Here is a 25,581-nt window from a genome sequence, read left to right as displayed (position 1 = left end):
GGATCCTCATAGCTACAACCAAAATACTATGAAAGTTTAGAAGGGAGGAGAAAGACGATATGTAGCAAATGATTCCAATGCACTGAAAATAGAGCAGGAGAAAGAGGGCTTATGGAAGATGAATGCTGGAAAGGTTAGTGAAGGCCAGAAATAGCAAGTTGGTAAGTTTGACGTTTATATTTTGTCAGAAAGCTTAAAGCTGTATGTTAGGAAGTTCACATTTCATCTCGAAGAGTTATTTAGAATTTAGGGACCTGGATTGCCAGTCATCTTTGTGATTCCGAATGTATTTCTCAGGTCTTAAACTTTAAGCATTTAAAGCCTGCATGATTATGCAGAAAAGTAAAAATCTTCATCTATATTTCATAGATTATTGAGATTATTGTTAAGTAACTTGTAGGTAATTAATTCATGACTTAGCAATGGAGGTTCTCTTTGTGTCAGCTTGAGTTACTAATATCTTTTGATGATGTTAATGAAGAAAGAACTCATTATTTCAGCTGATACTCGAAGTCAAACAAATGCTTGTTCTATTTAGGACACTGGTCTTGAACATCCTATTGGCAGCTCTGAATGGCTTTTGTCAGCACACAAACAGTTGACCCAGGATATGTCTACTCAGAGGGCAATTCAGACAGAGAAAGAGCAGCAGATAGAAACGGTCTGTGAAACAATTCAGAATCTGGTTGATAATATAAAGACTGTGCTCACTGGTCATAACCGACAGCTTGGAGATGTCAAACATCTCTTGAAAGCTATGGCTAAGGTAAGACTAATACCATGAACACACATTTACTCTCCCTCTGTTATAAAATTTACAAGTAGTTTTATTTATAGGAAAAACAGTGACATTTTGTAAATAACAATTTATCTCATCACATCTTCCAATTTGTTTGTAACTGAGTTAACTTGTGTTTTCATCAACTATTTTTTAAAGCCAGTAGTAGTAGTTTGAATTTCATACACAGAGAAGCTAAGGCTTAATTAGATTCCTTTATTGTGATATAACTTGTAATAAAACCAAGATATGAACCTAGTCTGAGCATTCAGATATCCAGCTTGTCTTTCTCTTTCTTAGCTATACCAACAAACCCATACAGTTTGCCTCCAAAATGAATGAAATGTTGTCTCTTCCCTCCAGTGTTGTACATAGTCTAGTAAGTAAGAAAACTAAGCCTCCAGAAAAGGCTATTACTTCATCATTACAAACAGTAAATAATTTAATTTTAGAATTTACTTTTACTTTGAATTTTTATTTGATGGTGGAAACAAAGTTCCTATAAAAATGGAGTTGAACTAAGCAGTTTAAACACACTCATATTTGAAACATTTGTTACTTAATCACTAGGTGACTGTCTTGAGAGTAATTACTGATACTAAAACTATTTTTCTTAATCATTAATTTATCAATTCTAGGATGAAGAAGCTGCTCTGGCAGATGGTGAAGATGTTCCCTATGAGAACAGTGTTAGGCAGTTTTTGGGTGAATATAAATCATGGCAAGACAACATTCAAACAGTTCTATTTACATTAGTCCAGGCTATGGGTCAGGTTCGAAGTCAAGAACACGTTGAAATGCTCCAGGAAATCACTCCCACCTTGAAAGAACTGAAAACACAAAGTCAGAGGTAAGAATGCCTTCTGGTCAGAATTTATAAAACATAAGTACAAAACTACTGGTATAAGAAGTTTATCTCTTGATTTAATTTTTCAGTTTTGTTCATATTTTTATAAGTAGTATCAGGTAAAACATTTCGTAAATAAGCCATTTTATTTTGTATTTCAGTATCTATAATAATTTAGTGAGTTTTGCATCACCCTTAGTCACCGATGCAACAAATGAATGTTCGAGTCCAACGTCATCTGCTACTTATCAGCCATCCTTCGCTGCAGGTAGGAGAAGAGTCCTGAGTCTTGATCTGTTGTTAATGTTACACATAGATGCTAAGATGTTTAATTATACATAACTGTCTAATATTAAACACTTAAGGCCTGTCATTCTATAATCTTAAACTGAACAGATTTTAGCTTATCCTTAAAAATACTCGTAAGCCAGGCACGATGGCTCACACCTGTAATCTCAGCTACTTGAAGGCCAAGGTGGGAGGATTGTCTAAGGCCAGGAGTTCAAGACCCTGTCTCTTTAAAAATAAATAAATAAACAGCTATTAAAAAAAAAAAAAAAAAAAAGGCCGGGCGAGGTGGCTCACACCCATAATCCCAGCACTTTGGGAGGCTGAGCCAGGTGGATCACCTAAGGTCAGGTGTTTGAGACCAGTCGGGCCAACATGGTGAAACCTTGTCTCTACTAAAAATACAAAAAAAATTAGCTGGGTGTGGTGCCAGATGCTTGTAGTCCCAGCTACTCAGGAGGCTGAGGCAGGAGAATTGCTTGAACCCGGGAGGTGGAGGTTACGGTGAGCCAAGATCACGCCACTGCACTCCAGGCTGGGTGACAGAGCAAGACTCTGTCTCAAAAAAATGAAACAACTCGTGAGAGAGTAAAAATGCTTTGCTAATTTGAATAGTTTTCTTTAAAAAAATTGTTTTTATTTTTGTTTGAGGCGGAGTCTCAAAACTGTCTCTTGTCGCCCAGGCTGGAGTGCAGTGGCACAGTTGCGGCTCACTGTAACCTCCACCCCCCAGATTCAAGCAATTCTCCTGCCTCAGCTTCCTGAGTAGCTTGGATTACAGGTGCTCGCCACCATGCCTGGCTAAAAAAAATATATATATATATCAGAGAAACATAGGAAAATACTTAATACAAATGAAGAATTTGTAGTTCCATTCCAAATAGAGGCAGAAACCACTCTGCATTTGTTGATTTACTTGCTGTGCATATGTACACATACACAAACACATTGGGATGATTATGCAAATGTAATTTTTGTTGCCTTTCCAGTTAATAATTTTTCAGTCATTAAATAATCTTTTTAAAAATGACTTAATGGCCAATTTATTTTTATTTTTTATTTTCTTATTTATTTTTATTTTATTTTATTTTTTTTTAATTTAATTTAATTTTTTTTTTTTTTTTTGAGATGAGTCTCACTCAGTCGCCCAGGCTGGAGTGCAGTGGCGCAATCTTGGCTCACTGCAACTTCCGCCTTCTGGGTTCAGGGGATTCTCCTGCCTCAACCTCCCCAGTAGCTGGAATTACAAGAACCTGCCACCACGCCCTGCTAATTTTTGTATTTTTATAGAGACAGGATTTTGCCATGTTGGCTAGGCTTGAATTAATTCAAGATGGATTAAAGACTTAAATGTTAGACCTAAAACCATAAAAACCCTAGAAGAAAACCTAGGCAATACCATTCAGGACATAGGCATGGGCAAGGACTCCATGTCTAAAACACCAAAAGCAATGGCAACAAAAGCCAAAATTGAAAAATGGAATCTAATTAAACTAAAGAGCTTCTGCACAGCAAAAGAAACTACCATCAGAGTGAACAGGCAACCTACAGAATGGGAGAAAATTTTTGCAATCTACTCATCTGACAAAAGTCTAATATCCAGAATCTACAAAGAACTCAAATTTACAAGAAAAAAACAACCCCATCAAAAAGTGGGCGAAGGATATAAACAGACACTTCTCAAAAGAAGACATTTATGCAGCCAACAGACACATGAAAAAATGCTCATCATCACTGGCCATCAGAGAAATGCAAATCAAAACCACAATGAGATACCATCTCACACCAGTTAGAATGGCCATCATTAAAAAGTCAGGAAACAACAGGTGCTGGAGAGGATGTGGAGAAATAGGAACACTTTTACACTGTTGGTGGGACTGTAAACTAGTTTAACCATTGTGGAAGTCAGTGTGGTGATTCCTCAGGGATCTAGAACTAGAAATACCATTTGACCCAGCCATCCCATTACTGGGTATATACCCAAAGGACTATAAATCATGCTGCTATAAAGACACATGCACACGTATGTTTATTGCGGCACTACTCACAATAGCAAAGACTTGGAACCAACCCAAATGTCCAACAATGATAGACTGGATTAAGAAAATGTGGCACATATACACCATGGAATACTATGCAGCCATAAAAAAGGATGAGTTCATGTCCTTTGTAGGGACATGGATGAAGCTGGAAACCATCATTCTCAGCAAACTATCGCAGGGACAAAAAACCAAACACCGCATGTTCTCACTCATAGGTGGGAATTGAACAATGAGAACACTTGGACACAGGAAGGGGAACATCTCACACCGGGGCTTGTTGTGGGTGGGGGGACAGGAGAGGGATAGCATTAGGAGATATACCTAATGTAAATGAAGAGTTAATGGGTGCAGCACACCAACATGGCACATGTATACATATGCAACAAACCTGCATGTTGTGCACATGTACCCTAGAACCTGAAGTATAGTAAATGTGTGTGTATATATATATGTGTGTGTGTGTGTATATGTGTATATATATGTGTATATATATGTGTGTATGTATATATATGTGTATATATATGTATATATATGTGTGTGTATATATATGTATATATATATAAAATAGTTCACAAAGATTAACACGTGGATACCCAAAATATCATATTACCATTGTATATTTTGGTAAATTAATGTTTATATTTCACTTTTATTGAATTTAATAAATTCCTGACCTCAACTGATCCGCCCACTTCAGCCTCCCCAAAGTGCTGGGATTACAGGCGTGAGCCATCATGCCTGGCTGTTATTTATGGTTTTTGATGCCACAAGCCTAGTAAACATAATTGTACAAATTCATACCTGAATGTCTGGCTGTTTTTAGGCTACATTTTTAGGAAGACAATTGCTGTGTCCAAGGATAAGGATTTATAGTTGATTATTTAATTGGGGTATCAACCACTACCACCTATCCCGTGCTTGCTCCACTCTGCCCCCTCCATGTTCTGTTTACATGTAAATTGAGCCACCAACTCTTTCTCTGTAGCAGTCCGGAGTAACACTGGCCAGAAGACTCAGCCTGATGTCATGTCACAGAATGCTAGAAAGCTGATCCAAAAAAATCTTGCTACATCAGCTGATACTCCACCAAGCACCGTTCCAGGAACTGGCAAGAGTGTTGCTTGTAGTCCTAAAAAGGCAGTCAGAGACCCTAAAACTGGGAAAGGTAATTAGTTAGAATAAAGATGCCTTAAATTTTTATATAAAATGACGGTTTGACTTACGTATGTTTTTGTTGCTTCATAGCGGTGCAAGAGAGAAACTCCTATGCAGTGAGTGTGTGGAAGAGAGTGAAAGCCAAGTTAGAGGGCCGAGATGTTGATCCGAATAGGAGGATGTCAGTTGCTGAACAGGTGACCGTGTTTTAAACTTGGGCTACACATTTTAATGCTGCTGGAAAAGTAGAGGTGTATAAAGATCCCTCTCATCGATTTCCTTAATAGTTCATCAAGGAACTTAAATGTGTTTTCAGGATTCAGAAGATTTTGAGTAACACAGCTCTGGCGTCGTCAAGTAGTCACCATTTTACTCTGACCCTTCCCTATGAGCACTTTCCTTTCCCCTAGCCCTGTTTTAACCCAAATATAAGTCCGATCCTCCTCCACCAGACTACAGTTAGTTTCCATTTAAAGAAGACTGTTGAAGGTTTCAAATGAAATGCCAAGGACCCTTTGGGTTGCAGGTGTAGTATGAGTGGAGCATCCCTAATTAGAAACTCATATGCTCCAAATCCGAAGCATTTTGAGAGTTGACATGATGCCATAAGTGAAAAGTTCCATGCCTGACCTGGTGATGGATCCCAGTAGTGAAAATCTAGTCAGAACCTGTTTCATGCACAAAATCACTGAAAATGTATAAAATTACCTTCAGGCTATGTGTATAATAAGGCATAAGTGGATTCTGTGTGTAGACTTGCATCCCACCACCAAGTTCCTCATTATATACATGTATATATTCCAAAATCTCAAAGAATCCAAAATCTAAAACTACAGGTCCCAAGCATTTTGGATAAGGGATACTCAACCTATGTTTGTAAAGCATCTTTGGGTATCGGGACATTTGTCTGAAGTCATTATTCTGAAATTTTTTCATTAGTCTTACTAATATTGAATATATAAATTTGAGAATAAAGCTACAGAAAAGTTATAGGAATGCCCATAAACGTTTTACCTAGACTCACCAGTTAACAATTTCCCATGTTTCATTGTTCTGTGTGTGTATGCACACACAGTTTTTCTGAACAATTTGAGGGTTCTTTGCAGACATCTTAGCACTTCATGCCTAAACTTCACCATGTGTCTCTTGAACAAAATACTATAATACTGTAGCTACTACATAATTGTCAACTCAGGAAACTTAACATTGTTGTAATACTATTATCTGACATTCAGTCCACATTCAGATTTCTCCAATTATCTCAAAATATCCTTTATTGCTTATTCCTCCTCTCTGAACCCCCTGTTCCTCCGACCTTCAAGATCTAGTCAAGGATCATCATGCATTTTGTGTATAGATAGATGGTCCTCCCCTTATGGAGTGACATCCCAATAAATCCATAAGTCTAAAATGCATTTAATACCCCGATAAACCCATGGTGAGGTAAAAAATGGTCATTCAGATCCACTGTGAGTCAGGGACTGTCCATCCTTGTCCTACTTCTTGATCTGCTTTAATATCTAGAACAGTTCCTGAGCCTTTCCCTCTTCTCTTCCGTTGATATTTTTGGTTTGTCTAGATTAGTTGGTTTACAGAATGTGCCTCCATTTATATTTGTCTGATATTTTCCTCATAATTCAATTCATTCAAGATTTTTTTTGGAAGGAATGCAACATCAGTGATGTTTCTTTCTCAGTATTTTACATCAAGAGACACATGTCAGTTTGTGCCATCTTTGGTGGTGATAAGCTAGATCATTTGGTCAAGAGAGGTATCCTCTTGATGTCTTCATTATAAATGTACATTTTTTTCCTGTGGGATAAAAATTAAGAGACTGAATATCCTGTTCTTCCATGGTTTGGCATCCGTAATTCAATTTTAACATCAGCAAGGAATTTTTTTTTTCTTTTAAACACTATTATATTCTTGTATAGGACCTAGACTTGAACTCTTCTTGGGCAAGAATTTTTTTTTTTTTAAGAAACCGTTTTGTCAAGTTTGTCAAAAACCATGAGAGATTTTCTGAGTTTGGGATATTTTTACTTAAGAAACGTTCTGGTAGGTTAATGGATTGTGTGCTTTTCATATCTTTATAACTGTCTTAGCTCTCTTTTTAAAGTATACTTGGTTATTGTGCTTTTTATTCTGATAGTTATTACATTTTATATGAAAATTAAGGGGCTTACAGGAGCAGGGTAAGTATAGAGTCCTTTGCACTTAACTTTTGGCATAATTTGTCTGCTGATTGTAATTCAGCAGACAATTGAAAAGCTTTAAATGACTTTACATACTATCCTGCCTATTTTTACAGGTTGACTATGTCATTAAGGAAGCAACTAATCTAGATAACTTGGCTCAGCTGTATGAAGGTTGGACAGCCTGGGTGTGAATGGCAAGACAGTAGATGAGTCTGGTTAAGCGAGGTCAGACATCCACCAGAATCAACTCAGCCTCAGGCATCCAAAGCCACACCACAGTCGGTGGTGATGCAACTGGGGGCTTACTCTGAGGAAACCTAGGAAATCTCGGTGCACTAGGAAGTGAATCCCGCAGGACAGCTGCACTCAGGGATACGCCCAACACCATGGCCTGCAACCCCAGGGTCAAGGGTGAAGGAAAGCAAGCTCACCGCCTGAACACGGAGATTGTCTTTCTGCCACAGAACAGCAGCAGACGTGTCGGGAGGTTAGCTGCGGAAAGAAATCGGGATGCCGCGGAGCACAGAGTGATTTGGAACTCCATTCCACCTGACCCTGTGTGTACAATCCAGGAAAAAAACAAACCCCACTCAGAAACAGAGAAAACTGGGGTCGCGAAGAAATCACAGCCAAGGAAGATTTGATGCATTCAGATTCTCGTGTAACACTTGTTGCTTGGCAACAGTACTGGTTGGGTTGACCAGTAAGTAGAAAAAGGCTAAAGGCTATGCGATATGAATTTCAGAAATGGACTGAAAATGGAGAGCTATGTAACAGATACACTACAGTAGAAGAACTTACTTCTGAAATGAAGGGAAAAAAACCACCCCATCGTTCCCTACTCCTCCCCACCACTTACCCGTTCCCCCTTTACCTAATCTAGTAGATTAGCCATCTTTCAAATTCACTTTTATTTCAGTCCTTATATTTCATATACTTCCGTCTCGATGCTGTTAACAACTTCTGATAACATGGAAAATTCAAGGATTGTTTAAAGGTCTGATGATCACACACAAAATGTAATTCCGGTTATTTAAGTCATTTCTGTGATTCTATCATGTACAGTTTCCAGAATTGTCACTGTGCATTCAAAAGTAATGAATCTAACAGACATTTGATTTAATGTACACTCCCTTTTGCTTATAGTGTGCATTTTTTTTGGAGGTCATTCAAATTTTCCCTCTTCTGTGATAGCTGTAGTTTCTTTCATAGAAAGTAGCTAATCCAGTGTAATCTTTTACCTTTTTAAAAACCAAGATAGAGTATCTATTAGAGTTTTACATTGTTGATGATAGATTAACAATAAAGTGATGTTCTGGTGGAGGTAGACTGAAATTTTTTTAATTCATGTTTTTCATTTGATACTTTTAATTTACACTTAGTAAATTAAAAGTTGTTTAATTTACTTGGCATTTTAGGACATGTACATGAAACAGTGAAAATGAGATCCACCAACATCTTTTATTAAGTTCAGTTATTAGTCTGTGAAGTGCTTTACTTTTTGCACAATTTTAATAGCTTGCTATTCAGTAATACATTATAGTGAATTCATGATCAAGGTTTCCTTAAATTTAGCATTGCATTTCAGTACTGACTGTGTAAGCTAAATTGCTGATCCAAAATAAAAACCCAGACTAGAATAGGGTTCTTAAAATCAAGTATCAATACAAAATAGAACACAATTAAAATCTTAATTGTTGGCTGGGCACAGTGGCTCACGCCTGTAATCCCAGCACTTTGGGAGGCCGAGGCGGGCGGATCATGAGGTTAGGAGAGCGAGACCATCCTGGCTAACACGGTGAAACCCCGTCTTTACTAAAAATACAAAAAAAATTAGCCGGGCGTGGTGGCGGGCGCCTGTAGTCCCAGCTACTCGGGAGGCTGAGGCAGGAGAATGGCGTGAACCCAGGAGGCGGAGCTTGCAGTGAGCCGAGATTGTGCCACTGCACTCCAGCCTGGGCAACAGAGCTAGACTCTGTGTCAAAAATAAATGACTAGATAAAAAAAAAAATTGTTTGAGTACATTTTCCCTGCATTTTAGAGATTAGGACAGTGGTCACTTTCTAGTTGCCGTCTTCACAGACAAACTTGAAAGGTATTAAGGAAAAAATTCCACATAGCTCTGGGCCTTTTTTGTATTCTGATTGCCACGTTAATCTGTAATCGTTAAGTACCCATGAAAGAATGTGTTTCAGTATCAGTGCTTTTTTGGTACTTTAACAAGTATTGTAGGCACGGTGGATTTTTTTGAAATACCCATGTGTCCAATAGCAAGTTAAGGAACCTAGCGCATCAAATTTTGTTTTCTTCATTCATTTGGAACCTTATTTTCGCAAAAAACCTAGCTGGAATAATAATGCCATATTGTATTTTGCACACTGCTTTATTTTCTAGAGGCTCTGGGAGCAAATTACATTCATCACATTACCTCTGCTCTCTCAAGATTAAAGTCTTTCAGCAACATTCTTTATTGTCATCATAAGGAAAAACTTTTATCGCAATGATAGTCAGTTCACATTAGTTTAGCACTATAGATAGTATTCAGAAATTGCTTTCTCTTTGGTAAAGAAGATAAATAGGTGAATTTTATTGCCTGTGTTTTCAGGCTTCAGAGGTACCTGGCACCTTACTCAAGCAAAAACAAAAAACAGCTTTACTTCAAAAGCATGTGCCTCTGGTAAATTATCCATCACTTTTGTTTTAAAGTGGTCCCTCCAAGAATAATGTGGCATACACAGTGGGTTTGGTTGTAAGGCAGATGTAATAGATGACTTCAAAAGCCTGCTCCTTACTGCACTCTGGACAAGGCCCTGGTCTGTATAGTTTGGCTTCCTCTGTTAAGTCATTCTACAAGGTGACTTGCCATTTGAACTTTCGTAAGAGACCTCAGCAGTTAGACTGAGAAAAGTTAGAGTGCTGTAGTTATGAAGTCATACATTTTTGATAAAATACCTGTGGAAAACCAGGGATCCTCTCCTGTTTCTCTCTCTTGCCTCCCCCTTTCCCTCCATTCCTCTGTCGCCTCCCCCTCTCCTCCACTTTCTTTAAGAATCAGGGGGTACAGAATAACCTACAAACAACCTCTTCAAAGTACCCTTGGAAATTGAAGTTCAATCTTAAGTTTTTTGCTGTCTTTAATTTACTAGAATTGCCTAATTTTTAGTTGATTTCTCTACAGAGCTTAGCTTGTGTAGTTATTTCTCTTTTACTGTTGCTTTGGTGTGTCTTGAAGTTTGATTGATTATTTTTGGTCATTGAGTTCTTAGTGTAGTTTGCTAGATGATTATTAAGATTCTTTTGTGTCTGACACTTGTGGTGAGTTGCTTTTGAAATCTGTTGAGATTTCCATGTGAGAACTGATAATCAGGCTCTTGATCTGCTTCCCTAAATTACTTTTTTAGAGCCCAAACCCCAGGTTTAGGGTGAGGGTTTGTAATACAAAGAAACACTTCCATCACTTCTGCCCTTAACCCTTGCCTCTATTACCTAAGCTTAGTAAGTAGTTTTCTTAATATTGTCCAATGTTTGGTGTTATCTGCATTGTTTTTTGTTTTTTTAATTGTGGTTGTTCTGACGTGTGAAATTTAAGGAAAGAGCCATTTTTTAAAAATGCCGAGCAGGGCAATGCAAGTACAGCCAAATATTAGACTTGATGTGCAATCTTCGGTCCTTTTTAATCTGGGGTATTATAGGCAGTACTTTAAATTGCAAAGTCTTCCGGGCCTATTTTCCTCTACATTTTTGTAATTAACTCTGGGGGCTTACTTGTTTTGGCAGTACTGAAATCAAAGGAGCTGGTTCTTCTTTTCTCCCAATTATTTTCATATGAAAGCACCTACAATTAGCCTGTTAGTCCTATTCAGATACATCAAATATCAGTGAATGCTTTACTATTCGCACATTTAAGCATCTTTGTTTTACATAAAATTAGAGTATGAAAACCAGTGTTCAATTTTTTATCTTGTTGAGCTTGTAAAATGCCAGCAATTTAAAACTAGGACTTTTCCCCCCATAAGCCAAGGAGGTAGAATTACTAATACAAGGGTTAAAGAAGGTAGATTTTGTTTTCAATATTTGGGTAATATTAGAAAGATTCTTCCCACAGGGAAGAACTAGCAAGTGTCCCAATTTTTTCCAAACGTTGGGGAGGGGAAAATTCACTGTATCATGAAACCCTAAGGGTTTGTTGCACTTCCTGCTTTTTAGGCCTGGATAACAGTATCACCATCCTTATTTACAGAAGGGTAAAACTGACTCTTAATGAGAAAAGCTTTATAAGTTCAAGGGCTGTAAAATATGAACTACTTAGGGTCGTTTGCCTTCCATGGGAACTTGGCTAGACTTAGAAAAAGCTGTTTGTTGTGCTAATGTAAAAGTGTCATACAATTTAGAAGATTTTTGAAGATGGTAAACTTAGAAGAATTCTATGTTCTGAAATGCACACTTTTAGAATGTTTTTCTTTGAAAACAGGCTAATAGTTTTTTCTTTTTTTGACAAAGTTTCAGCTCCTCTTTAAAGTTATTGTGTCATTTTTCTGGTTTAAATTTCCCTTATATTTCCACCTGTAATGTCAGTGGCAACAACATCATACTTCACTTACTTGTTAATTTACTTTTTACCCTTATTCTAAGAGCAAGTTGAGTTGAACTGAATCTTCCTTGTCTTAGTAACAATGTATAAATAGTGGCTTTTCTGTACAAAAGGTTGTAATGCCTCCTGATGGATATAATTTTGTGATTGTATTTAAAAGTTGAATAAATCACACCAGCTTCCTGAAAATGTTCATAATGCATCTTTTGGAAAACAAATACATGCCTACTTTGTGCATATTTGCATTAACATGGCAAAGATTGTATGAAATACCTGTTTTTCAGAAAATAAAGGTTCAGTCTCAAAAGATACAGCATTTAAGTTCTGAATTTATTGGTCAAAATAGATTTTGGAAAACTTGAAACCTTTTGGAACCTGGGTAGCTTGAAAAAACAAAACGACAGGGTCTCCCTATGTTGCCCAGGCTGATCTCGAACTCCTGGGCTCAAGTTACACTCCCACTTCAGCCTCCCAAAGTGCTGGGATTACAAGCCTGAGCCACTAAGCCGAGCCAAGCCTAGTCTTTTTTTTCTGAATAGCACTAATACCTCAAAAAAGACCCCTAAATTCTCAGAAAAGTAACTATTTTATTCTCAAACATCTGTTGTATTTTTGAATAGCAGTAGAAATTCTACTTCAACGATAAAATTCTTTGTGTTAAGGCCCAATTTATAAAGCTTAATTTTGGCAGTATTTAAAAACAAAATTCCCGTAGATCATTATTGACAGATAGGTGCATTCCTTGGAGTGTGAAACCTCTGAAAAAAAATAGAAAATGTCCAGCTTGGCTTTATATCTTGGAGATTGCATTTGTTGCTGCTAAATGAAGTTAGTAAGATTTGTGTTAACTGCTTAGTCATCTGGCACATTTCAAAAGATCACATCCTGTCTCTGTAGGACAAAAACAAAGCTCTAAAGAAAGCTATGTTAAGGGTGGGTGTTTTTTAATAATTAGACCAATCGGAAATTTAGTGAGAGACCATATAGCAGGGCTGTGCATTTAGAAATAGGTATGGGAATACATTGTTAAGTAACAAAAAATACTAAGTGGAGAAACTGCTGTTTCAGTTGCTTCTGTTTTTTTCACCTACCTTCATTTCACAAGCTGGTGTTAACAAGTCTTAAGTTGTGCATGGAAAACTTGGGTGAAAACAAGAAGCATATTCTGCAGCAAAAGCTGATTTCCCAAAAGTAGAAATGTCAGTTTTAAACCCTAATAAAATACCCTCTCTTTTGGAAGTGGCTATTACTGTGGGTCTAGCAAGATCACATACCCAGTGCTCAACATATTCACTAATTATGTGGCTGCTGATTGCTTCGATCTTTTTGACTTTTTTTTTTTTTTTTTTTTTTGAGACAGGTTTTTTGCTCTGTCACCCAAGCTTAAGTGCATAGGTGCAATCATAGCTCACTGCAGCCTCTATTTCCTGGGCTCAAGGGATCTTCCCTGCCTCCCCATTTGTATTTTTTTTTTTTTAGGGGCGTGGAGAAGAACCTGCTCCTCAGACTCCATAGCTTTAAAATCTCTCCAAATAGCGTCTCTGTCAACTGGCTGTATCCTGCCTTTACAACTTCTTTACCCCAACATTCTCCAAAGTGGCACTTTATTGAACAGTCAGCTTCCCTTGCAAAGACTTTTTTTCAAGTGCTTCTCCCTGATTCAGATACTTCACTCCCCTTTCCCCGAAAGACCCACAGCAAATTGACACCCTTCCATGAAATTCACAATGCTCCTGCCCTTGCCCAGCTCTCTTAGGGGCAGTATGTGGTCTGCAGCTATGTTCTCTCACATTTATGACTTCCTTGAACATTTAAGAACCTGGTGGTTACTTAAGGAACATTTTAAAAATAAATTTAAATTCAATGGCCGAATACAAATGACCATGAGATTGGAAGTTAAAACCTGTAAAAAAGATAAAAGGTTGGAAGTTAAAACTATAGTTAATTCACCTGAAACAAACATCTGATCCGGACATTTGGCATGATTCTGTTTGTATCAAACGATGAAAAATCGGCCGGGCGCGGTGGCTACTGCACTACAGCCTGGGCAACAGAGCCAGGCTGTGTCTCAAGAAAAAAAGAAAAAAAAAAAAAAAAAAAAAAAAAAAAGATCAAAGCACTTGTTACTGCATTTGAAATCCTGGATAGAAAAGATGTACAAGTGCCTCAACACAGTTCCTAAACTGCCTAGGAATTCTACTGCTTGTGAGAGGGTTTACATATTTTCTTAGCTTGACCTCTAATGGAAGAAAGGTCGTGTCAAGAACTATCCTTTTGGCCGGGCGCGGTAGCTCACGCCTGTAATCCCAGCACTTTGGCAGGCTAAGGCGGGCGGATATCTTGAGGTCAGGAGGTCCAGACCACCCTGGCCAAAATAGCGAAACCCCGTCTCTATTAAAATACAAAAATTAGCCGGGCGTAGTGACGGGCGTCTGTAATTCCAGCTACTCGGGAGGCTGACGCGCCAGGATCACTTGAACCCGGGAGATGGAGGTTACAGTGAGCAGAGATCGCGCCACTGCACTTCAGCCGGGGCCACGGAGCGCGAGACTCCTTCGTCTCAAACAAACAAACAAACAATTCTGGCCGGGCGCGGTGGCTCACGCCTGTAATCCTAGCACTTTGGGAGGCCGAGGCGGGCGGATCACGAGGTCAGGAGATCGAGACCATCCTAACACGGTGAAACTACGTCTCTACTAAAAATACAAAAAATTAGCCAGGCGTGTTGGCGGACGCCTGTAGTCCCAGCTACTTGGAAGGCTGAGGCAGGACAATGGCGTGAACCCGGGAGGCAGAGCTTGCAGTGAGCAAGATCGCGCCACTGCACTCCAGGCTGGGCAACATAGCGAGACTCCGTCTCAAAAAAAAAGAAAAAAAAAAAAAGAATCCTTTTGGAGAGGGAGCTTGTAGTTTAAGTAACTTAAACATCCACGTATAATAAAGCCACTTAGAAGGCGGTGCATTTTCACACGTTCTCAAACCAGGCCTGGGTTTTTCCGCGCAAGCTAAGGCCTCATTCCTACTGGGTAGGAGAGAAACATTGCAGCAAAATCCACACAAAGAGCTCTTTTCACTTGTCCTCAAAACCTCACGGGTCGCAAATCCGGGCTAAACGGCTCAGGGGCCTGGCTGGGGAACTGGGCCGAAGGTGGAACGGATCCCAGCCACCTCGGGGCCAGGAAAAGATGAAGTGTCGCAGGCCCGGCGTCCCCGCCCTCCGCCTGAGGCAACGGAGCATCTCTCTTCGAGTAGCCCATTTTCCAGAGAGTCTCCTCGGCTGCGAAAGCCAGACGAAGAGGGACCCAAAGCCACCGCAGCGGCAAGAGCCGGAGAACCACTGAGGGACAGCGCCCCCTGCAGAGGCGGTTGAACCGCTTCCCACAGCGCTGGGCGGGGCGTCGCGCAGTCCCTGGGCGCTGATTGGGCACTCCGTGTCCCCTCCCCCTCGGCCCGGCGCTGCCTCTGTCTCCTTTGACCTCGATTTCAAGCCATGCGCTGAGCTTCGGTTGGCCCGGCTTCCTTGAGGCGTAAGCTCGGTCTGTCCAATGAGGAGCGAGCGTCGCGGGGGCCGTCGGGAAGGGCGGCCGACCCATATAAGCAGCCTGCGGGGCGTTCCCTCGGGTTGTGGTTGGTGTGCGGGTTTCGGTTGGAGGACTCGTTGGGGAGGTGGCCTGCGCTTGTAGAGACTGCATCCCCGAGACGATGGCGGAGGGAGATAATCGCAGCACCAACCTGCTGGTGAGTCCTGGCTGCCTGTCCCCCGGGAGCCGAGCGAGGCCTCCAGACGTCCGTGGGCTCAAACACCGCGGCCTCGTCCCTGTCACCCGCCGCGGGCCCGGCCCTTCTCTCCCTGGGCAGGCGACGATGCCTGGCCCTCGGGCTTCTTGGGTGACTCCTGGGTGTCGAACCCTTACCTTTCCTGGGGACGGTGCGCGACGGGGCGAGGAGGGCGCGTGATTCATCACCGCGAGTAGGAGTCGAGGAGGAAGTGGGAGGCAGAGGGGCTGCGACACTAGCCTGGGGTGCGGGTGGGGGCAGAAGGCCTCCTGGGGCCTGTCCAGCGCTTTCGCGGCTCAGGCCCCAGCCGTATTCGGCTTTCCCCGTCTTTGATCTTAACCTGGATGTGCCTGCCTTCTTTTCCCCCTAAAACTTGGACAAGGGTGGAGGGTCAAAGGGCTACTGCCCAGAATTTATCTTAGAGCTGGTACAACTTAAAACGACAGGGAGGCTGCGAGCTCACCGTGGGGAACCGGGAGCGGGGTCCAGCTGAACAGACAATGGGATGTCTTGGCGTTTGTCTGGAATTTGGAAGTCTGGCGGGGGTGGGGTCACAGGACTACTGGAAACAGCTTTAGAGTAATAAGCAGGGATCCGAAGGAACTGCAGTGAGATGGTATCATAGGCGGACACATTTTTATTTGTTATGAATTTAAGCGCACCTTGTGGGCAAAAAACAAGAGAAATATCCTTGCATATTCTCAGTTGCCCTTCCCTGGTGACTGTAGGTCACATACCAGCAATGAAAAACGGAACCAAAGAATTTACTTAGGGGCTTTTGAACTTCCAAGACCCCAGACGCTGGCCAATGACGTGACTTCAGGGCAGTTTTGATTGTGCGTGATTTTATATTTGCTTTTAGAAATGCATGGTTTGTTCCTTTAAACACACGCTCCTTCTAGCATAGTTAGTTCTCAGCGTGGATCTTTTTAAGAGGATTAATTGAAGCACAGAGAAGTAGCTCAAGCCCTGTTGAAATGACAAATCCTGGGCTAGAGCTCCTGCTTCCCAACTCTCCTTCCAGCAGAGCAATATAACTCTAAGGAAAGCAACGCCTTTGGTCGTGGATTTCTTGGATGCAGATCAGTTAACCTCTGTATCTGTTTCCTCCTTGGTAAAATGGGGACAGTAATAACACCTTTTTTTAAGGGTTGTTAGGAAGATTAATTGAAGTATAAATATGAATGCTCAGCAGAGTGCCCACACATAGTAGTCTCTTTCACTAGTATTAAGCATGGAATATAAAGTCAGAAATATTGAGATCACACTAGTGCTCAGCGTGGCACAGATAGCGAGCGTCTTTGTTAAGATTAAGTGCCTTGTTCTGTCATTTGCATGATTTCCAGTGAATGACTTTTACAAAGAGACAAGGTCTCAGCCCAGGCTGGTCCCGATCTCCTGGGCTCAAGCAATCCCCCCCGACCCGCCAAGTGCTGGGTTTACAGGCGTGATCCACTGCATCCAGCCTGATAACATAGAGACACTTGAGTTTCTTATTCTAAATTTTTCTTCCTTTACCAAAACCAGCTTTAAGGGCTTTTGCCACATTAGCTCATCCTAGAGGCCCACTTTCGGCTGTTCAGAGTCAGAGAAATTTGAAGTATAATCAAAATGACATCCTGAGTGGTAAGAAACACTGTATTGAGGAGGTATATTGACCGTAAAATGCCACCTTAATTTGGTGAAAGTAGTTTTCCTTAATTGTCCAATGAATGTCAACATCTGAGTGATTCCATTACACAAAGAGCTATTTTAGAAATTGAATGCTATTCAGGGAAAGTCTTTCCTAATGGATTTAGAAGGGTTTAAATCAATAAGATGACAAAAACAACGGATCAATTCTAACCATCTGAAATAAACAAACTTAAAAAAAGTTATTTCATTTTATTAATACTCTGGGCACTGCCACGATTCCCCGCATGACTTTGAGAAAGTAAACCATTTTGAGCTCACTTTCTTTAATTGTAAATTGAGTCTAATTATCCCTACCTTGTGGCTCTCTGTAAGGATTAAGTTACATCATGTATATAAAGAATAGCCCAGTGCTTGGACTAGAAAAGTGACCATTAAAGGATATTTAGGCTGGGCCTGGTGGCTCACACCTGTAATCCCAGCACTTTGGGAAGACGAGGTGAGTGGATCACTTGAGGTCCAGAGTTTGAGACCAGCCTGGCCAACATGGTGAAACCCTGTCTCTACAAAAAATTAGTCGGGCGTGGTGGCGGGCGCCTATAGTCCCAACTACTCAGGAGTATGAGGTAGGAGAATCGCTTGAACCCAGGAGGCGGAGGCTGCAGTGAGCCGAGATCTCCCCACTGCACTCCAGCCTGGGTGACAGAGCGAGACTCCGTCTCAAAAAAAAAAACACAAAAAACAAAAAAACCCATTGTATTTTCATCTTTGAAATTGCAGTTTTTCAGAAACCAACTAGTTTAAAATTGGCAATTTGGTTAAGAGGTTATTTTTTGTATTTGGAGCTTTAAAATAATTGAAGTCTATGAACCACAAAAATGTTGAGAGTGGTAAAATGATCACTTTAAATGTCGGTGGTATTTAGGCTGCAGAGACTGCAAGTCTGGAAGAACAGCTGCAAGGATGGGGAGAAGTGATGCTGATGGCTGATAAAGTCCTCCGATGGGAAAGAGCCTGGTTTCCACCTGCCATCATGGGTGTGGTTTCTTTGGTGTTTCTGTAAGTGAGCTATTAGATTACTATGGGTTGTGCTTCTTATTAATAAAGACTTTTTAATATATAGCTTCTGTTTGTGGGAGTGCCTTAAGTCTTCTGTAATATATAACCCATAAAGAACCCATAAAGAATGTTTCTCATAAGCACTTCTAGTTTCCAGAATTTGTAGTACTTCTGTAAACTTGGTAACCTAAAGCACTTGAGTAAATCAGTGACTCGCAAACTTTTTGTCCTCCAGACACTTAAACTCTTTTTTTGTTATTATACTTTAAGTTCTGGGAAACATGTGTAGAATGTACAGGTTTGTTACATAGGTATATATACATGTGCCATGGTGGTTTGCTGCACCCATCAACCCTTCATCTACATTAGGTATTTCTCCTAATGCTATCCCTCCCCTAGTCCCCCACCTCCCTAAACTCTTAAAAAAGTGCTGAGAACTCCAAAGAGCTTTTGTCCATTGATATATACTTAACCACTGCAGCTATGATATCAGCATGTCACAAAGCCTCTGGAAAGCCACTTGTGAGAAAATTAGAAGAAAAATGGCAAATATCTCTGAGAGGCGGTGAATAGTTAAGTGAATAGTTAAGTTAGACATGTTTAGTTAGGAATAATAATGACTATGTTTTTCTAACCTTTATTAATTTTTTTAACAGGATTATCTACTATCTAGATCCATCTGTTCTGTCCGGCGTTTCCTGTTTTGTTATGTTTTTGTGCTTGGCTGACTACCTTGTTCCCATTCTAGCGCCTAGAATTTTTGGCTCCAATAAATGGTAGGTAGCATAATGATTTGGCAGTCTCATTTTTGTGTAGTTACTGAACTTGGTGGCTGTGATTAGTATGCTGTAAATAAGCAGAGATAATTGTCTAACCATCAGACACCTAAGCATTAGATTTATTGCTTTTATGTGAAGAATATTGTAACTGATTTGAATATAAACTATGAATTTTCTGTACTCCATAGTTCTTTTATGGTAAATGCACATATACATTTTTACATTTCCATTGATATTTAGGATAGTATAATAACTTCACAAATTATTTTTGAATGAATACAGAAAAGGAAACTGGCAGATTTTCATTCACATTCATTTAGCAATTATTTATTAAATGCCTACTGTGGCAGGCCCTGTAAAGTACTGTGAAATATTTTGACTTTTAAGATTGATCTTGTGTTAAGGCTGAGATACTGAGACACTGAGGCAGTGGAATGGCAGTTAACAAAGTGAATACCAAGTGTTTCCGAAGAGGTTCAAGCTGTATACACATGGGTTGCTGATTTTATTTATACCATTCTCTTTTTTTTTTTTTTTTTTGAGATGGAGGCTCGCTCTGTTGCCCAGGCTGGAGTGCAGTACGCTCTTGGCTCACTGCATGCTCCACCTCCCAGGTTCATGCCATTCTCTTGCCTCAGCCTCCCGAGTAGCTGGGACTACAGGTGCCCACCACCACACCTGGCTAATTTTTTTTTTTTTTATTTTTAGTAGAGACGGGGTTTCACCATGTTAGCCAGGATGGTCTCGATCTCCTGACCTTGTGATCCGCCCGCCTCGGCCTCCCAAAGTGCTGAGATTACAGGCGTGAGCCACCGTGCCCGGCCTATTTATACCATGAGGTTGCTTATGAACTCCTCAGATATAGTTAAGTGGATAAGGATCATATTAAAAGTATTTTAACTTTCTCTAGCATGTTGAGTTTTGATTCAAATAATCAGCCAAAATAGAAGTTGGAATAGATATTTTCTTCTCAGCTGCTATTCTATCCTTGGCTGTTTATTTTATTTGGTTAGTATTCTACTTGTGCCTTTGGTTGTTTGTATCTCAGAGGATAGCAAATTGCAAAATAATTCTGTAAATATAAGAATTTTAAATGTGTACCTTATGGATCTTTAAGAACAAATTCAAAGTTTGCTTAAATTATGATATAATTGACAATATTTAAAGGTGTTTCCCCCAACAGCAGAATGGATTAGTGTTAGGAACTGTCCAAATTGTTTTTCACTTGCAGTAATGAATCAATGTTGTTGGCTCTTTTGGGCAAGTTTCTGAATGTGCAGTATAACAGAGTTAGCAAAGGAAATAAATCACTGACCTTGGCCTTATTAGCCAGATAACATTCCAGTCTGCTAATTTATAACTCCTAGAGGAAAGTTTGCAGAAATAACCACTGATAGTTTCGTGATGTGACTCAGTTATTGATAGAGCAGATTTTGTTTATTTTTTGATCTTACAAGGAAGAAAGAATACTCTTTTGCATAGCCACAATCTAGCCTTGACCATGGGCAAGAAATAACATCTCATTGTTGAAAAGAAGTTCCAGGGCTCAGCAGAAATCCTTGTACTTTATCTATCACTGCAGTTTTACAGAGATGAGGGCTAGAGAAGAGAAGGCAACACATCCCTCAGCACAGGGCAATAATAGCAGCCATTATAGCTGTGTAGCGAAGACAGTGCAAAGGCAATTAAAAAAATCAGAACCAAGAAAAACATTATAAATATAAAAGGTTTTCTTGGAGGGTCTCTTGTTGGATTTTTACTGCTGTGTTGTTTGTTGATTATATTTTCCCTCCCTAGGGATAAATTTACAAAGAAGAATTTAGATTTGAGCTGTTTATTGCTGCCTTGTCATCAGATGTATGAAGCCCAGTTGGGGGTGTTATGTGTTAAATGCCAGTAGTTAGTATCTTACTAAGGAGTGTTCAAATACAGTTGTTCGGTGGGATTCTGGTAGGTATAGTGCAGCATTTACTAGGATCTAAAGAATATTTAGGAATAGCAAAATCAAATTTATACTGATTTCTTTATGGCCCATAGAAGTCATGAGTCTTTTACTACCATTAAATAAATGTGGCTTCAGAGCCAGAGATGATCCTTTCTTTATCACACGCACACACACACACACTCTCTCTCTCACACACATAGTTTATGTAAATACTTACTCCTGTGCTATAAAAGGTGTCTTAATGGTGGAAGGATTTTTTCACCTACATAAGATAATGGTGAAACATTGTTTTTATTTTTATTTTCTTTAGAAGATAGCTCTTAAATTGAACAGGGTGTCATGTTTTTGTCTACTGTAACGATTTGTTTATAGCAAAAGGCAAATTTCTTTTCTAGGACCACTGAACAACAGCAAAGATTCCATGAAATTTGCAGCAATCTAGTAAAAACTCGACGCAGAGCTGTGGGTTGGTGGAAACGCCTCTTCACACTAAAGGAAGAAAAACCTAAGATGGTACTTTTTTTGCTTTGACTTAAGTACAGTAAAATTTTAAGATTTGAGTCAATTCGCCTTTTTGTCTTAATAGCTATAATTTGAAAATTATTCATTGGTTAATTCCTAAGTACATTCATAAATGTTTACCTGTATTAATTAGACTGAATCATTTTAAAGTTAAAAATTACATTTTTGCATTTAATTTTTTATTCTAATAAAACAAAATTCTTCTGTTTCATTTTTCTTACTGAAATAATAGTAAAAGACATATACTTAGAAAGCATCTGTTTAGGCCGGGCACAGTGGCTAATGCCTATAATCCCAGCTACATGGAAGGCTGAGGATCACTTGAGCCCTGGAGGTCGAGGCTGCAGTGAGCTGTGTTTGCGCAGTGAGCTGTTTGCACCACTGCACTCCAGCCTTTGTGACAGAATGAGACTCTGTCTCAAAAAAAAAAAAAAAAAAGGAAAGCATCTGTTCATCTGTTCTCTTATCTGTAAGCTTCACGTCGTGAGGCTGTTCCGTGAAGTTATTAACTGAAAAGATCGTATAATTTATATCATAAAATATTTACATACAGAATTGCAGTAATTCTAGGAAGAAATGTATCCAAATTCTATAAAGTAGATCCAATGGAATAGGTTTTTAAATCTAAGAATTTTTAAAGAAAAGTGATAATAAAAGCTAAATTATTTCCCGAACTTTGAAACACATTCTTCTTTAATTGACAAATAAAAATTACATATATTTATGGTGTCACATGAAGTTTTGATATTAAATTCTTGTTTTCATTGCTAGTACTTCATGACCATGATCGTTTCCCTTGCTGCGGTTGCTTGGGTGGGACAACAAGTCCACAACCTGCTTCTCACCTACCTGATAGGTAAGTCTTTGAGGAAAAACTACAGGCACATCCTGGCCAGTGAAATTTAACTGTAACTTCGTCAGTAAACAGCTGAATACTTCCTAAGTTTTAGACACCGAAAAGGAACTGTGGGAATATGGAAAGATTATTATGGTCTCATAGAAAGTGAAAACAATGCAATAACCAAGGTAGAAAGTAATGTGCAAGAGGTAAAAATAAGCAATGATTATTTTCTGAGGTGGAAGAGGGGATGAGAGCAGAAGTTTCTGGGGATACATCCCAGTGGAAGTAATTGATTTCATGTTGCTTCCTCCCATTACTGAGTTTAATAATGTAGGAACCTGCCTTCTTTAAAATGTAATAACTGGCTGGTCACGGTGGCTCAGCCTGTAATCCCAGCACTTTGGGAGGCTGAGGCAGGTGGATCACTTGAGGCCGGGAGTTTGAGACCAGCCTAGCCAACATGGCGAAACCCTGTCTCTACTAAAAATACAAAAATTAGTTGGATGTGGTGGTACACACCTGTAGTCCCAGCTACCTAGGAGGCTGAGGCATGAGAATCACCTGAACCCAGGAGGTGGAGGTTACAGTGAGCTGAGATCACACCACTGCACTCACCACCCCCCCCACCCACCACCGCCATACACACGTAATAACCTCTGATCACCTGAGGTCAGGAGTTGGAGACCGCCTGGCCAACATTGCGAAATCACATGTGTACTAAAAATACAAAAATTAGCCAGGCGTGGCGGCAGGCACCTGTAATCCCAGCTACTCTACTTGGTAGGGTGAGGCAGGAGAATCGCTTGAACCTGGGAGGTGGAGGTTGCAGTGAACCGAGATTGTGCCATTGCACTCCAGCCTGGGCAAAAAGAGTGAGACTTGTCGCTGGGTGTGGTGGCTCACGCCCGTAATCCCAGCACTCTGGGAGGCTGAAGCAGGCGGATCACCTGAGATTGGGAGTTCGAGACCAGCCTGACTAACATGGAGAAACCCCATCTCTACTAAAAATACAAAATTAGTCAGGCGTAGTGGCGCATGCCTGTAATCCCAGCTACTTGGGTAGCTGAGGCAGGAGAATCGCTTGAACCTGGGAGGCGGAGGTTGCGGTGAGCCAAGATTGCGCCATTGCACTCCAGCCTGGGCAACAAAAGTGAAACTTTGTCTCAAAAAAAAAAAAAAAAAGTAATAACCTTTAGCAGGTTAATTGCTGCCTCCTTAATGTTGGGTTTTTTTTTATTTTAAGTGACTTCCTTACTATTGCTTCCTGGACTAAACCAACATGGAATCATTTTGAAGTACATTGGAATGGCCAAGAGGGAGATAAACAAACTTCTCAAACAAAAAGAAAAGAAAAACGAATGATTCATCTGCTTTAATCAGTGTGATTAATGCAGCACCCATTGCCCCGGGAACCGTTTCTGCTGTACTATCTGGATACTAAAATGTTACGGAAGTAGCTCTTTGTTCTCCCTCACTCTGCCCTTAGTTAATAGAAATTCAGACTCGCCAAGTAAGGCTTCGTGCATAGTGTCTTCATGTCGCGTATAGTTGAGCGCGTTCTTAGCAGTTGGCTTCATGGACAACTCATTAGTGTTTTGACTTTTCTTACCCAGCGTTAATTGAATTCTTGCTTTTAGACAACTTCCTTTTTGTAGTGGTGAACCTTGCCCTTTAGTACAGTTCAAGTGAATCTGGATAATTGTTCATCTTTGCTTTAGCTTAGATACCATGTAGTGGTCTGTGGCTACAGGAAGCTGGTTCTGTCTGCTTCCACAGTCTGCTTAAAAAACTGTCTGACTTCGTGAATATAGAGACCAAGTTTACCACTTCTGATGAAGAGACCAATTAAGATTCATTCCTCATTCTGTTTCTTTCCAGTGGGAGAAGAGTCCCCATGAAATAAGATGAAACTGATTCCATGCACTAGTACATGTAGGCTTCTCCCTTGTGCAAAGCTTAGCAATTTGTAGGAAACTTTGATCTTTTTGTCCAAGAAAAGGAATGTCTGACAGGCTTAAGCTTTCGTCCCCTTGCACTTAGACTCGAAGTTAGTAAATCCTTAAAGGCTTTTTAATAGCAGACTTCCAAAAGATTGCATTTAGGATTTCTAGCATGCTTTTAATTTCAGATTTTCAGCTGACATTAGCTATAGTATACAGTAGGTTAAGACTCATGTCTATGACTTTCACTCTAAGACTGGCAAAAGGACAGCAGTCTTCTATGTTTAGTCAATATTCATTTCAGTAGAAGATAATCTTATCTAATTTTTGAGACCAGAATAAGCCTTTTAAGGTAAACCTCAAAATTATCATTTTATGGTAATACTGACCATTTTAGTCCCCTAGGTTTGACATGGGAGATAGTGACTACACTGGTGTCTGACTTTTTTCCTAGAGATTTCTCCCTGAAAAATACAAGGGCTGTTGGTGAGAGCAGACTTGAGGTGATGATAGTTGGCCTCTGGTCTACAAAGATTTCATAACTCCTTGGAAAGCTTCTTATAATCATTCTTAACTTCTTGGTAGCTAGAAATTTAGAGTAGTTGAAATCTTTAGGAATGAACTTCTGAGGGCCAAAAAATGTGACTGACGGGAACAATTCTTAAACTGATTAACTAGCTGTAATATAGTTTTGTGAATTTATTGCACTGATGTTGTACCTTGTGGTATATCTGTCCCTATTAAATAAGTGTTGTTTTCTCCTCTTTAATATTGCTGTGAACAGTGGTGCCCATTGTAGCATATGTTTGATTTTTTTTTATTATTTCATAAGAAAACTACGTTAATTTTACCTTACTTTCATTGTAAATAAGCCTGTCTTCCTATCTGGATTTTTTGTGTGCATACATATTCTACTGATTAACTACTTTTGCAGTTTTAATCCTGTATTATTTCTTCTACTTTGTTTTGTGTAAAAGGGGAAAAAATAAAAAAAGCTGGAATCTTCATGTCTCACTTTCTTTATAACTTAGCCAATATAATATTTATGATTGGATTTATGAATCTGATTAATGAAGTACCCTGTGTGGTCCTTAGATGTCTATAAGGTACCCTACCTGTAATCCCACCACTTTGGGAGACCTGGGCAGGAGGTTCACTGGAGTCCATGAGTTTGAGGTTGCATTGAG

At 39.8% G+C, this 25,581-nt stretch overlaps 2 protein-coding genes across 16 annotated transcripts in view, besides 3 other annotated features; both read left to right on the top strand.

Annotated features, from left to right (window-relative positions):
* SMG1 (SMG1 nonsense mediated mRNA decay associated PI3K related kinase) overlaps positions 1 to 12,208 on the top strand; it is a 121,549-nt gene extending 109,341 nt beyond the window's left edge. For 12 of the 14 annotated variants that reach the window (XM_047433796.1, XM_005255184.5, NM_015092.5 and 9 more), the window contains 6 exons: positions 539 to 766; positions 1,417 to 1,628; positions 1,787 to 1,893; positions 4,941 to 5,120; positions 5,201 to 5,307; positions 7,422 to 12,208. In XM_047433796.1, coding sequence (XP_047289752.1) covers positions 539 to 766; positions 1,417 to 1,628; positions 1,787 to 1,893; positions 4,941 to 5,120; positions 5,201 to 5,307; positions 7,422 to 7,499 — 912 coding nt within the window. In that variant the 3' untranslated portion in view covers positions 7,500 to 12,208. The remainder of the gene's footprint in view (positions 1 to 538; positions 767 to 1,416; positions 1,629 to 1,786; positions 1,894 to 4,940; positions 5,121 to 5,200; positions 5,308 to 7,421) is intronic. The other 2 variants (XM_047433793.1, XM_011545769.4) reach the window with 1 other exon arrangement.
* Positions 14,976 to 15,215: an enhancer, noted in NCBI's record as "active region_10521". NCBI's record gives its function as "activates an Ori minimal core promoter by ATAC-STARR-seq in GM12878 lymphoblastoid cells {active_cell/tissue: GM12878}" and the evidence as "EXISTENCE:reporter gene assay evidence [ECO:0000049][PMID:35858748]".
* ARL6IP1 (ARL6 interacting reticulophagy regulator 1) lies at positions 15,519 to 25,401 on the top strand. Of its 2 annotated transcripts, none has more exons than NM_015161.3 (6): positions 15,519 to 15,637; positions 18,234 to 18,367; positions 19,024 to 19,143; positions 21,487 to 21,604; positions 22,385 to 22,469; positions 23,698 to 25,399. In NM_015161.3, the coding sequence occupies exons 1-6, from the start codon at positions 15,602 to 15,604 to the stop codon at positions 23,814 to 23,816; spliced, it is 612 nt and encodes a 203-aa protein (NP_055976.1). In that variant the 5' UTR covers positions 15,519 to 15,601; the 3' UTR covers positions 23,817 to 25,399. The 2 variants fall into 2 exon arrangements, with proteins under 2 accessions (NP_055976.1, NP_001300787.1); NM_001313858.1 differs by lacking the exon at positions 15,519 to 15,637 and adding an exon at positions 15,698 to 15,869 and having other exon boundaries at positions 23,698 to 25,401.
* Positions 15,596 to 15,675: an enhancer, noted in NCBI's record as "active region_10520". NCBI's record gives its function as "activates an Ori minimal core promoter by ATAC-STARR-seq in GM12878 lymphoblastoid cells {active_cell/tissue: GM12878}" and the evidence as "EXISTENCE:reporter gene assay evidence [ECO:0000049][PMID:35858748]".
* Positions 15,896 to 16,015: an enhancer, noted in NCBI's record as "active region_10519". NCBI's record gives its function as "activates an Ori minimal core promoter by ATAC-STARR-seq in GM12878 lymphoblastoid cells {active_cell/tissue: GM12878}" and the evidence as "EXISTENCE:reporter gene assay evidence [ECO:0000049][PMID:35858748]".

The sequence above is a fragment of the Homo sapiens genome, chromosome 16 (genome assembly GCF_000001405.40).
Source record: "Homo sapiens chromosome 16, GRCh38.p14 Primary Assembly".
Taxonomy (NCBI): Eukaryota; Metazoa; Chordata; class Mammalia; order Primates; family Hominidae; genus Homo; species Homo sapiens.
This window is presented reverse-complemented; position numbering and strand designations above follow the sequence as displayed.